The 17,056-nt window shown below is 38.7% G+C and overlaps 1 protein-coding gene and 1 long non-coding RNA gene across 3 annotated transcripts in view; one reads left to right on the top strand and one right to left on the bottom strand.

Moving 5' to 3' along the window:
* LOC101927947 (uncharacterized) overlaps positions 1-17,056 on the bottom strand; it is a 469,997-nt gene that overhangs the window by 37,176 nt on the left and 415,765 nt on the right. The window lies entirely within an intron of this gene.
* The window catches only part of DCHS2 (dachsous cadherin-related 2), a 260,058-nt gene that overhangs the window by 230,156 nt on the left and 12,846 nt on the right, over positions 1-17,056 (top strand). Inside the window, exons 15-16 of the mRNA NM_001358235.2 lie at positions 1,888-2,099; positions 5,974-6,125. Of these exons, the coding sequence (NP_001345164.1) occupies positions 1,888-2,099; positions 5,974-6,125 (364 nt within the window). The remainder of the gene's footprint in view (positions 1-1,887; positions 2,100-5,973; positions 6,126-17,056) is intronic.

The following is a 17,056-nucleotide window of genomic DNA, read 5'->3' as shown; positions in this document are numbered from 1 at the left end:
AATAACAAAGACAGAATATTTGAACAGGATATGCCTCCCACTAGAATTCAAGTAGGTGCCAGATGACCTAAAGCTTCTTGGACTAGGTTATCTGGGGAAGCTGATTCAGATAGAGCAATAAAAACTGCAGCTCCCAGGCCATAGTTACGGAACATAGTTCCAGTACAGATTCTTTCACCAGAGGATCGAACTTCTAGTAGTTGATGGCTATTAAATGTTCTCTTTCTAAATTCAGAGTTCACAGAGATATTAAATCCATATGTGATGATGAGGGGCAGACAAACACGAGTAACACATCGTGGAATCTACATGTTACTACAAAGAGACATTCCAAATATGCGTTATGTCACTTGCTCCTCACAGCCACTCTTTGAAGTCATTGTTAACATCCCATTTTATATAGAAAAGGAGACTCAGCTTTATGTCAACCGCATAACTTATCCAGGTCACAAAGTTAGGAGGTGGTGGAGCCAGGTAATTGACCTAAATTAAATTTCTAGGCCTCGGATTTATGCCTGGTTTCAGGTTTCTCTAACTCCAAATTAGTGTTCATTCAGAAACTCTCTATTTGATGGACTTGCTGACAGTGAAAGCCAAGTAAATAAAAATAATACATTGAGTCGGAAATTTTATTGTAAAGTGGAGGAAAAAACAGTAAAATCTAGACAAGGAAATTATGTTAAAGGAGTAAGTTTCTTAATTTGCTGGGGGTGGGGGAAACTAGAGTATGGCATCACCCTCAAAAATCTGCTTCCCTAACCTGGATCTGCCTTTTATATGAGGGCATAAAAGTATTACTGTGTGCCTTCTGGAGGCCAGACCCTGAGCCAGACACTGGAGATATGATGGTACGTAAGAGATGGTGTATGGAGCTTATAAACAAGAGGAATAATAGGACAAAAAACAGATGAAGGTGAACAAAGCGATGATGCAGCTGCTGGGAAATGCAGAGGCTTTGTAAGAGACTTTGGGGAGGTGATGGTACAGGGATGGTGATCTGGAAAAATCCCTGAGGAAGAATCGCTGTGTGAGCCATTCCAGGCTGATGGAACCGCATGCGTGATGACTCTTTAATAAGCATTCAAGAAGCAGATGCATATTATGATCATGGAAGGGTTTCATGCAGAACAATGACAGCATCTTTTTTTTTATTAAATTCAGAATGAAAACTGGATTAGGGAGAGACCAATTTTGTGGCTAATGCAGGGGACAAGGTGGGAAGTGCTGGTGGCTTGAAGGAAGGCAGCAGTAATGGGGCTGGAGTGAAGCTAAATTTGAAAGATAGACTTTCCAGACATGGCCAGGGGGTAAATATGGAGAGAGATAGCTCCCAGGTCTTGGTATTTCATAGTTTCTTTCTCTCTACATATTTGAACCTGCAAACATCTGCAAGATCCCAAATCTTTTCACAATGACCCGGGTCGGTGGGGAAAGGAGGCCCGGCAATGGGAGGCTTTTGCGGGACAGGTGAGCTGTGAGCACATGAGGCAAAGATGCTTTGAGTCATTTTAAGAATAACTATGGCCAGGTGCTGTGGCTCACGCCTATAATCCGAGCACTTTCAGAGGCCAAGGCAGGTGAATCACGAGGTCAGGAGTTCGAGACCAGACTGGCCAACATGGTGAAAACCCGTCTCTACTAAAAATACAAAAAATTGGCTGGGCATGGTGGCGGGTTCCTGTAACTCCAACTACTCAGGAGGCTGAGGCAGGAGAATCGCTTGAACCCGGGAGGCGTAGGTTGCAGTGAGCCGAGATTTCACCACTGCACTCCAGCCTGGGCGACAGTGCGAGACTCTGTCTCAAAACTAAATAAATAAATAAAATAAAAAATAAAAGAATAACTACAACATCATTTTCTTTTTTTTCTCCTTGGAAATAAAAATAGGACAACTCACTGTGAAAGAACCCAAGTTTCTTGATTTTGAAGTCAGAAATGAGGTTCAACTCATCGTTTTAGCTGAAAGTAGTGGGCATAGAGCCTATTGCAAAGTAGCAGTCTTGATACAGGATGAGAATGATAATTCACCATGCTTTGAACAAAGCATTTACCAGGCATCAGTGTCTGAAAGCCAACTCTACAATGCTCATGTCATACAGGTAACAGAAATATATTTGTGTGTGTGTGTGTGTGTGTGTGTGTGGGTGTGTCTGTGTGAGAGAGAGAGAGAGAATTATTACAAGTCAATGTACATAAAAATTTCTAATCCCTGTAGTACAACACTCTTTCCAGGCCATGTACATTTTATAGATGGGATGAAACCTTAGGTTAAAGAAAATCTGAAATTCTTGCACTGTCTCTTCCTCTTTATTTATTCAGTGCTCAATTACTGACATCTGCTTTCTCTAGGAGTACTGTTGAGCACTAGAAGTATGCATTTATTAATACAATAGAAGTATGCATTTAGTGTAATGAGTGAAAAGAGGAGACACAGCCTCCTCCTGAAGGAGGAGTGTAAGACTTCATAGAATAAGGATATTTACACTAAGTCTTCAAGGTGAACAGGCATGTGGACGGATCTGCTTTCAGGACTAGCCCCATCTCAGTAAAAGGCCCCAAGTCCTGGAGAAGCATCCATTCACAGGGAAGTTTTGTTCATGCTGTAAAACCCACCCATCCTTGATACTTTCTCCACCTGCCTCAGGACAAGTGCTTGTTTCATCTTTCCCTCCACTATTGAATTGAGTTTTTGTAGTCAGGAAGCTGGGCATTAGGAGATCTCTAACCTCCCGTGACTTTGGAAAGGAAATCAGTATAAATCCAACTTCCAGGCAAAGTTAGCCACAGGGAGGGTCATTCCTTTTGGCCCCTGGAATGTCATGGCTGTGGTCAGCACTTCATGCTTATTACACCCCTTTTTCTCTGGGCTAGGTGGGGTAAGGCGTTTACATGGCATGCTAGCATATTTTCTGGACAAAACCTGCAACAGTTCTTTACTGTGCAGACACCTTCACCTCATTATATAAAAAGACCCCACAGTGGCTCACAACTGTAATCCCAGCACTTTGGGAGGCCAAGGCAGGTGGATCACCTGAGGTCAGGAGTTCGAGACTAGTCTGACCAACATGGTGAAACCCCATCTCTACTAAAAATATAAAACTAGCCTGGTGTGGTGGTGGGCACCTGTAGTCCCAGCTACTTGGGAGGCTGAGGCAGGAGAATTGCTTGAACCTGGAAGGCAGAGGTTACAGTGAGCTGAGATCATGCCATTGCACTCCAGCCTGGGCAATAAGAGCAAAACTCAATCTCACAAAAAAAAAAAAAAAAAAAAAAAAAGCCTTTCTTTTACTGCAATTCCAGTTTCTGAAGCACATATCCATGCTGTTGGTGAAAACAAGACCAATAGAGTCTCAGCTGCCTTGGAGTTTTAGCTCTGTGCCCCTACACCCCGTCCAGGATATCTGGGATCCCCTAGGCTATGACTGCAGGTGTATTTTGTTTTATAGCAGCCTGATTGCTCTAGTCACCAGCCTGTTCCAGATGTGCTGTGTCTTTACCCTGGTTTCAGCCATGACTGAGATGTTTCAGAAGAAAGAACATTCACTTTTCCAGTCTTTATCATCCCTGCCCAGTGAGGCTGATCAGTGGGGATGGCAGATGCCTCCATTGCCACCTTGTCACAAGAGGATCCCCACACTGGGGCCCTGCATCGTTTCACTTCTCTGTCCCAAATGCTAACTGGGATGGAGCTAAATTGCTCAGTGTGAAATAAGTGAAGGCAAAGACCCATATAAAGCCCAGGTGCACTGAATGAGAGAGAGCCTGACCCACCAGCCCTTCAAATTATGGCAGACTTGTAGAAGGCTGAGTCAGGGACAGATAGAATGAACTTTGTTCTTTCCATTTTCCAATCATTGAGTTCCCAGGAAGCTAGCACTACCATTCTGCTGTGTCCTGTTCAGAAAATTAGAAATGAAGGAGGCTCTGGAGCTCATACCAATTGTGGTGGTTGCTTCCTGGTTTTTGACCCCACATTGCTCAATGCCCTCCTTTGGTTACAGCCCCACAAACTCCTTTGAGGGTCTGACCCTCTGTTGATGCAGTCCTGGGGGTGTTGTCATCAAGATATTGACCTGCCTCCCACTCCCATCCCGCCAAAGGTGTGGTGAACTGCCTTGCTTCTCTCAGTCACACAGACTTTCTCTCCCTGAAATTTGAATCTTCGGTGAAGGGACACCAAGACAGAGACAAATTACAGCCAATTCATCTTGATGACAACAACTCAAAGAAGCTGTGCTTTACATTCCCTAGAGCCACTCAGGCTCTTGTATTCACTGGGCACTGTCTTTCTGATACATCTCTCCCCGGTTGGGTTAGCACTAGTTAAGATGTGCCGGTACCCTAGAACCATAGCTGATAGACCACCCAGAGATACTCTCTGTAGCACTTTTTTTTTTGAGACGAAGTCTCGCTCTGTCGCCAGGCTGGAGTGTGGGGGCGTGATCTCGGCTCACTGCAACCTCCGCCTCCCAGGTACAAGCAATTCTCCTGCCTCAGCCTCCTGAGTAGCTGGGACTATGGGCGTATGCCACCACGCCCAGCTAATTTTTGTATTTTTAGTGGAGATGGGGTTTCACCATGTTGGCCAGGATGGTCTTGATCTCTTAACCTCGTAATCCACCCGCCTTGGCCTCCCAAAGTGCTTCTGTAGCACTTTTAAATGTATGGCTCCAAGGGATATAGTGGACTTTGATGCAGACTGGTTTCTTTTCTTGGTGATCCCAAAGGAAACTGCATATTGCAGCCTTTCGGTCCCAAGAGCTGTCCCCTGTCTGATGAGCTCCTGGATACTGCACCTGGGTCACTCAGGGTCCCCTGAGAACTCTGGCAGCAAAGTGAAGGATAAATTGAGATGGTAGGAAATTAGAATGAAAACCCACTAGGACATTCATCAGTATAGTAGCCCAGGAGAGAGATGACAGGGGACAGGAGCTAAGACTAAGGCTCAGGGGCATAGAAGATATAAACAAGTAAAAAGTAATTAATTAATTTGTCAACTTGTTCTTAATCAAGATACCAAATCCACTAACATAATTGGTTTAGTGATTAAAGTTTATTGCAAAATGATGGAGAATGATGTAAAACTTCTGTTTTATCCTCAACACAACTTTGATAACTCATCAAATACATGATTAGGATCTACACTTCTTAGCACTAAATCTAGGTTTTGTTTCACTTGTTTAATGATCCCTTTAAAATGAAACTTTAGGGCCAGCCACAGTGGCTCACACCTGTTATCCCAGCACTTTGGGAGGCTGATGCAGGTGGATCGCTTGAGCCCAGGAGTTCAAGACCAGCCTGGGCAAAATGGGAAAACCCCATCTCTACAAAAAAATACAAAAATTAGCTGGGCATGGTGGCGCATGCTACTTGGGAGGCTAAAGTGGGAGGATCACTTAAGCCCAGCAGGCTGAGGCTGCAGTGAACCATGAATCACATCACTGCACTCCACCCTGGGTGACAGTGCCAGACTCTATCTCAAAAATAAAATAAAATAAAACTTTAAATACAATATAAAAAAATTCACACCTAGCCAATTTTATAGGTAATTCTTTAAGCAGAAAAACAGAGCAAATGAAAAAAAAATTATCACTATGTGGAGATTTCCCATAACATTTTTTCCCTTTACTTGTGCTAGCATGAATTCATATACACTATTGGAACTCTCCTATTCAAGCAACTTAGATGTTTTTAAAAATATTTCTTCTCATTGCACAAAATTATACCTCAAAAACATGTACCATGTCTACTGAGAGCTATTTGAAAATTCTTTGGATGAAGAATTTCCCCCATCACTCAGTTTATCATAAAGTTAAATGTAAGCTTCAGTTGTCTGTTGGTATTTCATTTCATCGTTGTTTTTAAAATATGTTTGACAAGCTGTGATTCTTTCTTAATGCATGTCTCTGAAAAACAGACTGAACCCATATTGCAGAATAAATCTTATCTAATGAAACAGTCGGTTCCTCACAGGTTTTTGCTACCGACTTGGACAGTGGTTTGAACGGCCTGATTGAGTATTCTATTCTGTCTGGCAACCAAGAAGAAGCATTCCAGATTGATGCACTGAGTGGTGTGATAACAACAAAAGCGATTCTAGATTACGAGCTCACCAGCTCCTACAGGTTGGTCCAGGGTTCAGATCCATTGGCTCCATTTATTCTGCCTGCTTACTGACAACATTGCTGTTTTGTTCATAACTTCCTGTTACGTAAGCTTATTGTAAAATGTGTTATCCCTTTGATCCAACTTGTTGATATTCTCTTTGATCTACTCTTTTTGATATTGAAAATAGTCTCAGCCATTATTTGTATTTGGAAAAAAGTGATTAAAATAGCAAAACTTTAAGGTCCCTTCTAGTTCTAAGATTTTATGAATTTGTGATGCTATTAAGCACTAAATGGGGGACACTAAAAAGATAATGTTTGTGAGATGTCTAATGAACTAGAGAGCCCTCTGCAGGTGTTTGTTGTTATTGTTTTTTTAAAACGTGACGACTGAGGGATACCTTGCTTTTTGATTCTTTATTCTTGCATATGAAAGTACAACGCTGTCTTGAAGGTCCTGTTGCAGTTCTGTGTTCTAATAGAAATGATCTTATTAAACGCATACATTTAACATTAAAACTTTGTGCCTAGAGTCTAAGATATGCCAGCCTTATACAGAATTCAACAAAGGAAATAATAATAGTGTTTAAGTTTTCTTGGTGTTTAAAAAAATCAGTGCTACCAAAGACTAGACTTATACAGAGAGATAGTGATGGGATCACAATTTGTGGAAGCAAAAGCCTTTTTTTTTTCCTTTTCTGAGACAGAGTCTTATTCTGTCGCCCAGACTGGAGTGTAGTGGCACAATCTCAGTTCACTGCAGCTTCTGTCTCCTGGATTCAAGCAATTCTCCTGCCTCAGCCTTCCAAGTGGCTGGGTTTACAGCCACCTGCCACCATGCGTGGTTAATTTTTGTATTTTTAGTAGAGATGGGGTTCCACCATATTGGCCAGGCTGGTCTCAATCTCCTGACCTCTAGTGATCCACCTGCCTTGGCCTCCCAAAGTGCTGGGATTACAGGCTTGAGCCACTGCGCCCAGCCAGCAAAACACTGTTAAGAATTCTAAAATATCCATGAGTGGGGACTGCTTAAAGAATTAGCAAAACCCTGGAATAGAATACTATGAAATACCATGAAGCTGATTTTACAAAAGAAAGAGGCATAACTCTATGTGCCGATGAGGATGGAGCTCTAGGATATGTGACTAAGTGAAGGCAGTAACGAGACCCACTACCATGCTTATCCAGCATGCCTGTTTGAGTAAAAGCACACCCGCATATTGAGAATGCTTCTGGAAGAAAATATAAGAAACCGTTCACCTTATTTGTCTCTGGAGAAGCAGTCAGGCAGCCTGTGGTCCAAGAGAGGCTTAGCTCTTTTACTGAACATTTTAGTATGCTTTAGATAGATGTTGTGTTTTTCGGTTTTTCCAAAAGGCCTTGCTCATACTGTATTCTATTTAATCCTCGCAAGCACCTCCTGAGGATGTTAAGGTGGGCATTTTCTTATTTGCTGATAAGGCAACAGAAATACAGTGGCTTGCTCAGGGTCATAGGATAATTTGAGGTTCAAAAGTGAACTTGCACTTAAGTATTCTGCTTCTAAGTCACAGTCTTTCCACTGTAGAGCTGCAGAGCAGACATCCTGTTTAAGGAAAACACAGGTACAGTATACCAAAGACAGTGAGTGTCAGTATGCTTCTACACCAGACTACTTTTATGTTTTATGAAAAAATTATAATATGTGCATGTGGTTGAGCAATGAGAGCTGATTAAACTGGAATATCTTACTGGCTATATTGGATTAATTACCCTCTGGAAAACCTCCCAATGCTAAAAATTTAAATGTTTAGTTTTTTGTTTAATATACTTCAAAAGTATTTTAAAAGTTTAAGACTTTATCCTGTATTAACTATTATAAATTTTAAAATAATATTTTAGCATAATAGCTATTGGTACTTATTGTTTAGATATATTAAAACCTATTCCCTGCTACATTGTTTCTATAGTAATTGTTTAAGCATGAAACTTTTCTCCTCTTCCACGGATGACTGCAGATAAATCTCAATCTAATTGAGTGATTACAAATTCAGGAATTATTAAAGGTCTGCCATGTTCTAAGAACTAAGCATTTTCTGATTTTAAGGACTTTCTGTTACAGTGTTCTTCTTACTCAATGGAACCTAATTAACAATTAAATCTAATTTCTTTCAACTTTTTCCTATTTGCGTCATGGTTTCTATGTTCACAATATTAAATTGGTCCCAATATTAAAAATGACTCTCTCCCATTGCCATGAAGAATTTAACTCTAGGCTTGAAGAAGCAGGAACTGAGAAAAGTTGAACCCCCTACACACTGCCACAGAGAGATACACACAGGTAACAACACACACACACACACACTCTCTCTCTCTCTCTCTCTCTCCAGCATCACCAAGGCAAGGAATTATTTTAAACCTCCTTCCTCCCTGGGCTCTCCCCACACCCCGCCCCCCACCCCGCACAACACCTGCTGTGGCATGGCTTCTATCCTTTAGTGCTTTTCTTGATATTTAAGGCAATAAGAAATAAAGGAGGATTTTCCCTAGTCTGCTACACCTTTAGTGAATGTTCTGGAAACAGTCTCATTTAGCTTCCAACTTTTTACTTTTGAAGTATTGCTATTTTGTCTGATCGAGGAAAGTATCCCAATTCCAGCCCTTTGTTTTAAAATATAAAACATTTCCTCAAAAAAATAGAGCTACCATACAATCTAGCATTCCTGCTCCTAGATGTATACCCACTAAAAAGAAATCACTATATCGACAATTTATTGCAGTAATATTCACAATAGCCGAGGTTTGGAAGCAACCTAAGTGTCCATTAACAGGTGAATGGATAAAGAAAATGGGATACATATACACAATGGAGTATTATTTAGCCATTAAAAGAAAAAAAGAAGAATGAGATCCGGTCATTTGCAACAACATGGATGGAACTGGAAGTCATTATGTTAAGTGAAATACAAACATCACATGTTCTCACTTATTTGTGGGAGCTAAAAATTACAACAAATGAACTCAAGCAGATAGGGAGTAGAAGGATGGTTACCAGAGGCTGGGAAGGGTCAGGGAGGATTGAGGGCAAGTGGGAATGGTTAAAGATTACAAAATATAGTTGGAATGAATGAATAAGACCCAGTATTTGCTGGTACAAAAGGGTAACTATAGTCAAAAATTTAATTATACGTTTAAAAATAACAAAAAGATTATAATTAAAAATAACTAAAAGATTTGGATTGTTTGTAACACAAAGGATAAATGCTTGAGGTGATGGATACTCCATTTACCCTGATGTAATTGATACACATTGCATGCCTGTATCAAAATATCTCATGTAACCCATAAATGTATACACCTACTATGTACCCACAAAAATTAAAAATTGAAAAAGAAAAGATTTCCTATTATATTCTTCAATTTCCAAGACTTGGGCAATTTAACCTTTAATTAGTGATGCATTTTTTAAAATAATAATAAATTAAAACATAAAATGGAAAAAGGGAGATAGTATCAGTCATGATTCTACTAAATATGAATGTATTAAATAATTTTTAGTTTTCATATTAAGCCACATAGAAGAAAATTCAGTGGAAATTCGATGACAAATTATAAAATAGGCATTAATTTCTGTTTGATGTTTATGAATATACAAAAAGCTATTTATCAAGCATGAAGCTGGGGACACAAAGACAAATGCAAGAGCCCTTGTTCTCAAGGAGTTTGAAAATCGAGTCCTGGCCAGGTGCAGTGGCTCATGCCTGTAATCCTAGCACTTTGGGAGGCTGAGGCGGGCAGATCACCTGAGGTCAGGCGTTTGAGACCAGCCTGGTCAACATGGCAAAACCCCGTCTCAACTAAAAGTTCAAAAATTAGCCAGGCATGGTGGCGGGCTCCTGTAATCCCAGCTACTCGGGAGGCTGAGGCAGGAGAATCGCTTGAACCCGGAAGGTGGAGATTGCAGTGAGCTGAGATCGCACCACTGCACTCCAGCCTGGGCAACAAGAGTGAGACTTTGTCTCAAAAAAAGAAAAAGAAAATCAAGTCCTAGTAAGATATATGGCAGAAGGCACATTAATAATCACAATAGTTTCCATTTATGGAACTCCTGCTTCACATTTATTATCTAATTGAATTCTTGTAATAGACATGATTTATAAAATAAAGAAATGGGAACTCAGAGAGGTAAAGTGGTTTGGCCAAGAATCCGAAGCTAGTACATGGTAGAACATGATTCTAGCCGATGTGAATGATTGCAGGGCTTATTTTATGATGTGAATGAATCTTAAAAGTATATGCATGTACATTTACAAAATAAATAAATATTCAAGGCAAGCAGTTATTTTCAGGAGCAATGCTAAACTCAGTGTATTCTCCATTGAATGCTCATTATGACTGGGAGAAAGCAATTTTACAGGCAACGTAGGAAATGGACTGAGATGTTAATTATCTTTTTCAAAATACACAATTCATGAAAAGCAAAGCTGGGATTGGAATCCCAGTCTATTGATGCCCTGAGAAAAAGGGAATAAAAAGGATTTGGGGCCAAAGGCACGGGAACGTGAAAGTGTTTGGTATGTTTGGAAGTAGCAAGTAGTACAGCACACCAAAGAAGCAACTAAGTTTGGGGTAATGAAAGAGGCAGCAGGCAAGTTTTGAAAGACTTTCTGTGTCTCGTAGTGGAAACTAAACATTATTCTGTGAACTACATACAACTATAAGCAGTTGAACGAATGTTTGTATCTTTATTTCTAAAGACACCTCATAATGGATGCACTGCAAGAGAGAGAACTAGCTTAGGCCAACAAGCTGAGCTAGACTGCAGCAATGAAAAGTCTGTTACATGGATGGTGCAGTGGGGACAGAAGGAAGATACATACTAAAATATTGATTCAAATATGGAATCCATAGGAACTTGATCACCAATTGAATTTATCGAGCAAGAAAAGAGATAGAATGGTTCTTTTTCTGCTTAGGAAAGGAAGGGAGAGGAACAGATGGAGATTATGATTTTTTTATTCTGGGTATTTTGAGGTGGAAGGACCAATACAAGAACAAAAGTAAAGATACCCTTTTGGCAATTGAAAATAATAATCTGTAGCTCAGGGTAGGGGTCTTCACTCAAGATATGGATTTGAGATTCATCCAGGGAAAATGTGTAAAATGAATTACCTAGGGAGAATATGTAAAATGAGAATTGAGGAGTGGTGACTTATCACCACCTCAGGATTCGGCCGATAAATAGGAACTGCAAAATATATTTAGGGAATAGAAAGATCTAGAAAAAGATAATGTCATGGAGACCAAGGGGAGAGGTTGGGCTGAAAGAAGACTTCAAAATATGTTTGCATTAGAATCACTAAAAATACAGTCATCTCTCAGTATCCATGAGGTATTGGTTGTGAGACTCTCCACTGCATCCCTCCCACTCCCCCATCCAAAAATCCATGGATGCTCACATTTCTTATATAAAATGGCATAGTATTTGCATATTACCTATGCAATCCTCTCATATAGTTTATTTTTATTTATTTATTTTAATTTCAAATTTTATTTTAGTTACAGGAGACATGTGTGCAGGTTTGTTACATAGGTGTGTTGTACTATGTAGTGAGCACAGTACTCAGGTAGTTTTTCAACCCATGCACCCTCCCTCCCTCCCCCTCAGCAGTTCACAGTGTCCATTATTCCCATGTTTATGTCCATGCATGCTCCATGTTTAGCTCCCATTTGTAAGTGAGAACATGAGCTATTTTGGTTTTTTGTTTATGTGTTAATTTGTTTAGGATTATAGCCTCCATCTCTATCCATGTTTCTGCAAAAGACATGATTTTATTCTTTTTTATGGCTGCATAGATCACATTTTCCTTATCCAATCCACCATTAACAGGCACCTAGGTTGCCTTTTTGCTATTGTGAATAGCGTGGTGATGAACATATAAATGCATGTATTTTTTGCTCTAATGATCTACCTTCCTTTGGGAATATACCCAGCAATAGGATTGCTGGGTCCAATGGCACTCTGTGGTAAGTTCTTTGAGAAATCTCCAAACTGCTTTCCACAGTGGCCGAACTATTTTACATTCCCAACAATGTATTAATGTTCCCTTTTCTTCACACTCTCACTAGCATCTTTGTTTTTTGACTTTTTAATAATAGCCATTCTGACTGGTATCTCATTATGTTTTGATTTGTATTTCTCTGATGATTAGTGATCATGAGCATTTTTTTATATGTTTGTTGGCTGCTTCTGTGTCTTTCTTTGAAAAGTGTCTGTTCATGTCCTTTGCCCAATTTTTAATGGGATTATTTGGGTTTTGCTTGTTGATTTAAGTTCCTTGTAGATTCTGGATATTAGACCTTTGCCAGATGCATAGTTAGTGAATATTTTCTCTCATTCTGTAGGTTGTCTCTTTACTCTGCTGATTATTTCTTTTATTGTGCAGAAGCTCTTTAGTTTAATTAGATCCCATCTGTCAATTTTTGTTTTTTGTTACAATTGCTTTTGAGGACTTAGCCAAAAATTTCTTGCCAGGGCCAATTTCAAGAAGGGTATTTCTTAGGTTTTCTTCTAGGATTTCTATAGCTTGAGGCCTTATATTTAAATCTTCAATTCATCTTCAGTCAATTTTTGTATATGGTAAAAGGTAAGGATCTAGTTTCATTCTTCTGCATCTGGTTAGCCAGTTATCCCAGTACCATTTATTGAATAGGGAGTGCTTTCCTCATTGCTTGTTTTTGCTGGCTTTGTCAAAGATTGAATGGTTGTACGTGTGTGGTTCTATTTCTAAGTTTTCTATTCTGTTCCATCACTCTGTGTGTTTGTGTTATATCAGTACCATGCTATTTTCATTACTGTAGCCTTATAGTATAGTTTGAAGTCAGGTAATATGGTGCCTCCGGCTTTCTTCTTTTTACTTAGGATTGAGTCTGTTTAGGCAGAAAAGAAGTATTCAATAGATACATAAAGATTAAAGATTTTGATCTAAGCATATTTTCTTAATTTGATTTTTTATTATTATCAAAGTAATATATACATTTTTTAAAAAAATCAAATAGTGTATAGAGTGTAGATGAAAGTCAGCAACCACTGCCTCACCTCTCCCAAGGCTAAAGCCCTCCAGAAGCAGACACTATTAACTGATTTTCTCTGATATTATAAATACAAGTATGTAATAATTTATAACTTTAAACATTATCTCTTAACTTCCTGTTATAATAGATATAGGTGTAAAATCCTTACTTTCTCACACTCCAACTCTTTCTATATTCATATCACTGTTTTTCATTTAATCAGTAATTAGTGTTTATATTATATGAATCTATTCATGTTTACTTCATAGTCAAATCATATTATATGTTTTTTTCCTTTTATCACTACTCCTCAAGCCCCCAGTTTCTTTCCTGAGTGCCCAATTGGCTATATCTATGCACTGAATGCCTTGTAAATATCCCATAAGCTCTGTTATCTGCATCTAATTTATCCTCTAACTGCCTTTCATCAAATATTCTATCAAGCCCTCTTTTTTCATGAAGACCTGGTTCCTACTGCTTTATGCCCTCTCCATCTAGCATGAACAGTTTGGGTTAATAAACCTATTGCAAGGCTGAGATCCGATAACTTTGGTTTATAGCTCTCCGAGGTCAGGCCAGCACTTCCAGATCCCATGTCTTTCTCTTCCAATAGGTTTGCAGGAAAAGGTGCCACAGAAGTAAATTATCTGAGCCTTTGCATGTCTGAAAATGTCTTTATTCTACTCTTTCATGTAATATATGCAATGGACAATACAGAAGTTGAAAGTATCTTTTAGAATTTTGAAGGCATTGCTGTGTTATTCTCTGAAACCCAGTGTTGCTATTAACAAGTCTAGTGCCATTCTAATTCTTTTTTTTTTTTTTTTTTTTTTTTTTTTTTTTTTTTTGAGACGGAGTCTTGCTCTTCACCCAGGCTGGAGTGGTGTGATCTTGGCTCAGTGCAACCTCTGCCTCCCAGGTTCAAGCGACTTTCCTGCCTCAGCCTCTCAAGTAGCTGGGACTACAGGCACCCACTACCACACCCAGCTAATTTTTATATTTTTAGTAGAGATGGGGTTTCACCAAATTGGCCAGGCTGGTCTCGAACTCCTGACCTTAGCTCAGTGCAACCTCTGCCTCCTGGTTCAAGTGACTTTCCTACCTCAGCCTCCCGAGTAGCTGGGACTACAGGCGCCCGCTACCACACCCAGCTAATTTTTATATTTTTAGTAGAGATGGGGTTTCACCAAATTGGCCAGGCTGGTCTCGAACTCCTGACCTTATTATGATCCACCCGCCTCAGCCTCCCAAAGTGCTGGGATTAAAGGCATAAGCCACTGCGCCTGGCCACCATTCTGATTCTTTTACTTTGTATAATTTTTCCTTCTCTCTAGAAATTTATAGGTTATACTTATCATCCATAGTATTTTAAAATGTGATTGCATATTTTGATGTGGGTTTCTCCTTGTGCTGTGTATTCAGTGTTCACTTTTAATAAAAAGACATATTTCTTTTAATTTTCTTGTATTATTGAAAAGGAAAATTCATTGAAAATTTCCTCCCCTTTTTTTAGTTTTGTTTTGTTGTTTTGCCCTGTTTCATTTTCCTGAATCCTATTCAATTAGGTATTGGATTGCCTAGATGAATTCTTTGTTAGTTATATTTTATTTCCTACTTTCCATTTATTGTTTGTGTGTGGGTTTAGTTTTTGTTGTTTTATTTTGGGAAGATATTTCCTGAATTTTAATCTTCTAAAATTTCTTTTTTATTTTCTAATTAAAAATTGAGAGGATATTATATATTTGTTTTTACTTCTAAAAGCTCTTCTTTGATGTTTGACTTTTTAAATAATATCCAACTCTTGTTTTATGCACATGTTGTCTTCTGATATCTCTCCAAGGTATTAATTAGAATTGTTTTAAATTTTCTTTTGTTCCTTTCAATATCTGTTTCCACTGGGTTCCTTTTTTTTATTTGTCTATATTGAGCTCTCTTTTTCATGCTGAAGGCTTTCTGTAAATAAGTGTTGATTCTTAGATATAAGTGAGGCAATTTCAAAGTCATTAGAACCTCTGAGTGGGCTAGAGGGACTTGACTAGCACTCTTCACTTTCAAATGTACCACAGGGGAAGTCGACTATTTTTCAGGATGACATACAAATGGCAGTATATGGAGTTCACTTTTCTTTGGGAGGGGACTTTCAGTTCTCCAGAGAAGGTCTTTCAATATTACTAACCCCAAGTATGAACCAAAGGCATTCTTTGGCTGAGAATGCAGAGTAATGGGCAAGAGGGACAAAACTACCCTGTATTTAAAATAACATAAATAATCTTTCTATTTAAATAATCTGAATTTAAAATATTCTTCCTATTTTTATCTCAATACCTCACTGCAATATTTGCCATGTCTTGAGCCTCTCCTTGGTGACCTGGGAGCAACTCTGCTCCTCACGTATCTTTATGCTCCTCTGAATGCATTTTAAAAGACTTCTTTTAGAGTGGTTTTAGGTCCACAGCAAAATTGAGAGATGGTGCAGAGATTTCCTGTATATCCCTGCCCAAACACATGCACAGCCTCCCCTGTTATCAAAATCCCCACCAGATTGGTGCATTTTGATGAAGCTACACTGACACATCATTATCACTCAGATTTACAGTTTTCAGTGGGATCCACTCTTGGTGTTGTACATTCTGAGTGGATTTTAATCTCTGATTTCCTTTGGCCCACTCATCTGCAAACACTCTTCAATCTGCTTGTATCTTCCAGAATTTGTTGATATTTCTCATTCATTTCACCCACTAATATCTTCCCTCATTTTTTAGCTTTATGGACTTATAACTTATTATAAAAGGTTTTTGATATCATTTTAGAAGAATCTTGAGAGGAAGGGAAGATAAAACCTGTGTAGTCAGCTTGCTGTCTTTAACCAGAAATCATAGTTTTTCTTTTCATAGTTATTTCTACTGGTGGCTGATATTTTTTTTTTCAGAATTTCAGAAGGATTAGAAAATTCCTGCTAGACGTTTAAGATATAATTGAGAGTTTTGAAAAATCCTCTACCAACAAGTTTAGTACTTGTTAAGACAATCAAAGAGATCCTTCCTGGTCAAAAGCCTTATTTAAAGTTTAACATGGTAAAAGAAGCTTCCCATTGTTGATAGAACAGGAAAAAAATGCTCTGAATTTAAAAGGCTTAGAATGGGCCTGTTCTAAATCTGGTCAGTTTCATTTATTGTCTGTAGTGATAATAGTAATCAGGGCAACAGTTGTGGAACATGGAGTGAGTTGGACAGGCTACAACCAACAGTTTCACAACTGCGAAAGAGCCATCATAGATGGCTTGAAGTCTTGCAGAGGTTGTGTACAGAATATCTGCACATCTACCTTCATATTTTTTTATTTGTTCTTCAAGTCATTGAGGAACCTTTTCCTTTCCCATTTATTTTGATGCTAAACAACATATTTCTCTCCATATCAAAGAATCTCACTTCTTTTTAATCTGACAAGGCATTATGTAGGATGCCTGAAGTTGTAACATTGTGAAAATAATGGTAATTATGGCTACAGTAGAAGAGTTGATAGAAACTTAACTTTGATGTCTTGGCTGAGACTTTAGATGACATTGGAAGGGGCAAGCAGCAGGGGAGAAAGGAGTATGAGTTGATTATTTTTGGTAAAATATTTCCATATGTATCTGACTGACATTCATACTAACAAAATAAACTTTCAGCATATAATTATTCCAGAAGTTAGGCTCCAGAAATGTGAGATTCAGGTGGTTGTTCTACTAATATTCCAACTCTGATAATGCAGAAGGCAGCCTGTGTTCTTCATGAATAGTAGATAAGCCCTGATGATTTAATATTAAGTGGAATTCAAACCAAGAAGGAGTTGATGTTTATTTCATGTCATTTTTAAATTTAGGATTGGAAAGAGAAAGAACATTCATCAAGTGA

The sequence above is a fragment of the Homo sapiens genome, chromosome 4 (assembly GCF_000001405.40).
Source record: "Homo sapiens chromosome 4, GRCh38.p14 Primary Assembly".
NCBI classification, from domain to species: Eukaryota; Metazoa; Chordata; class Mammalia; order Primates; family Hominidae; genus Homo; species Homo sapiens.
Note: the sequence above shows the minus strand (reverse complement) of the source record. Positions and strands in the feature narration are given on the sequence as shown.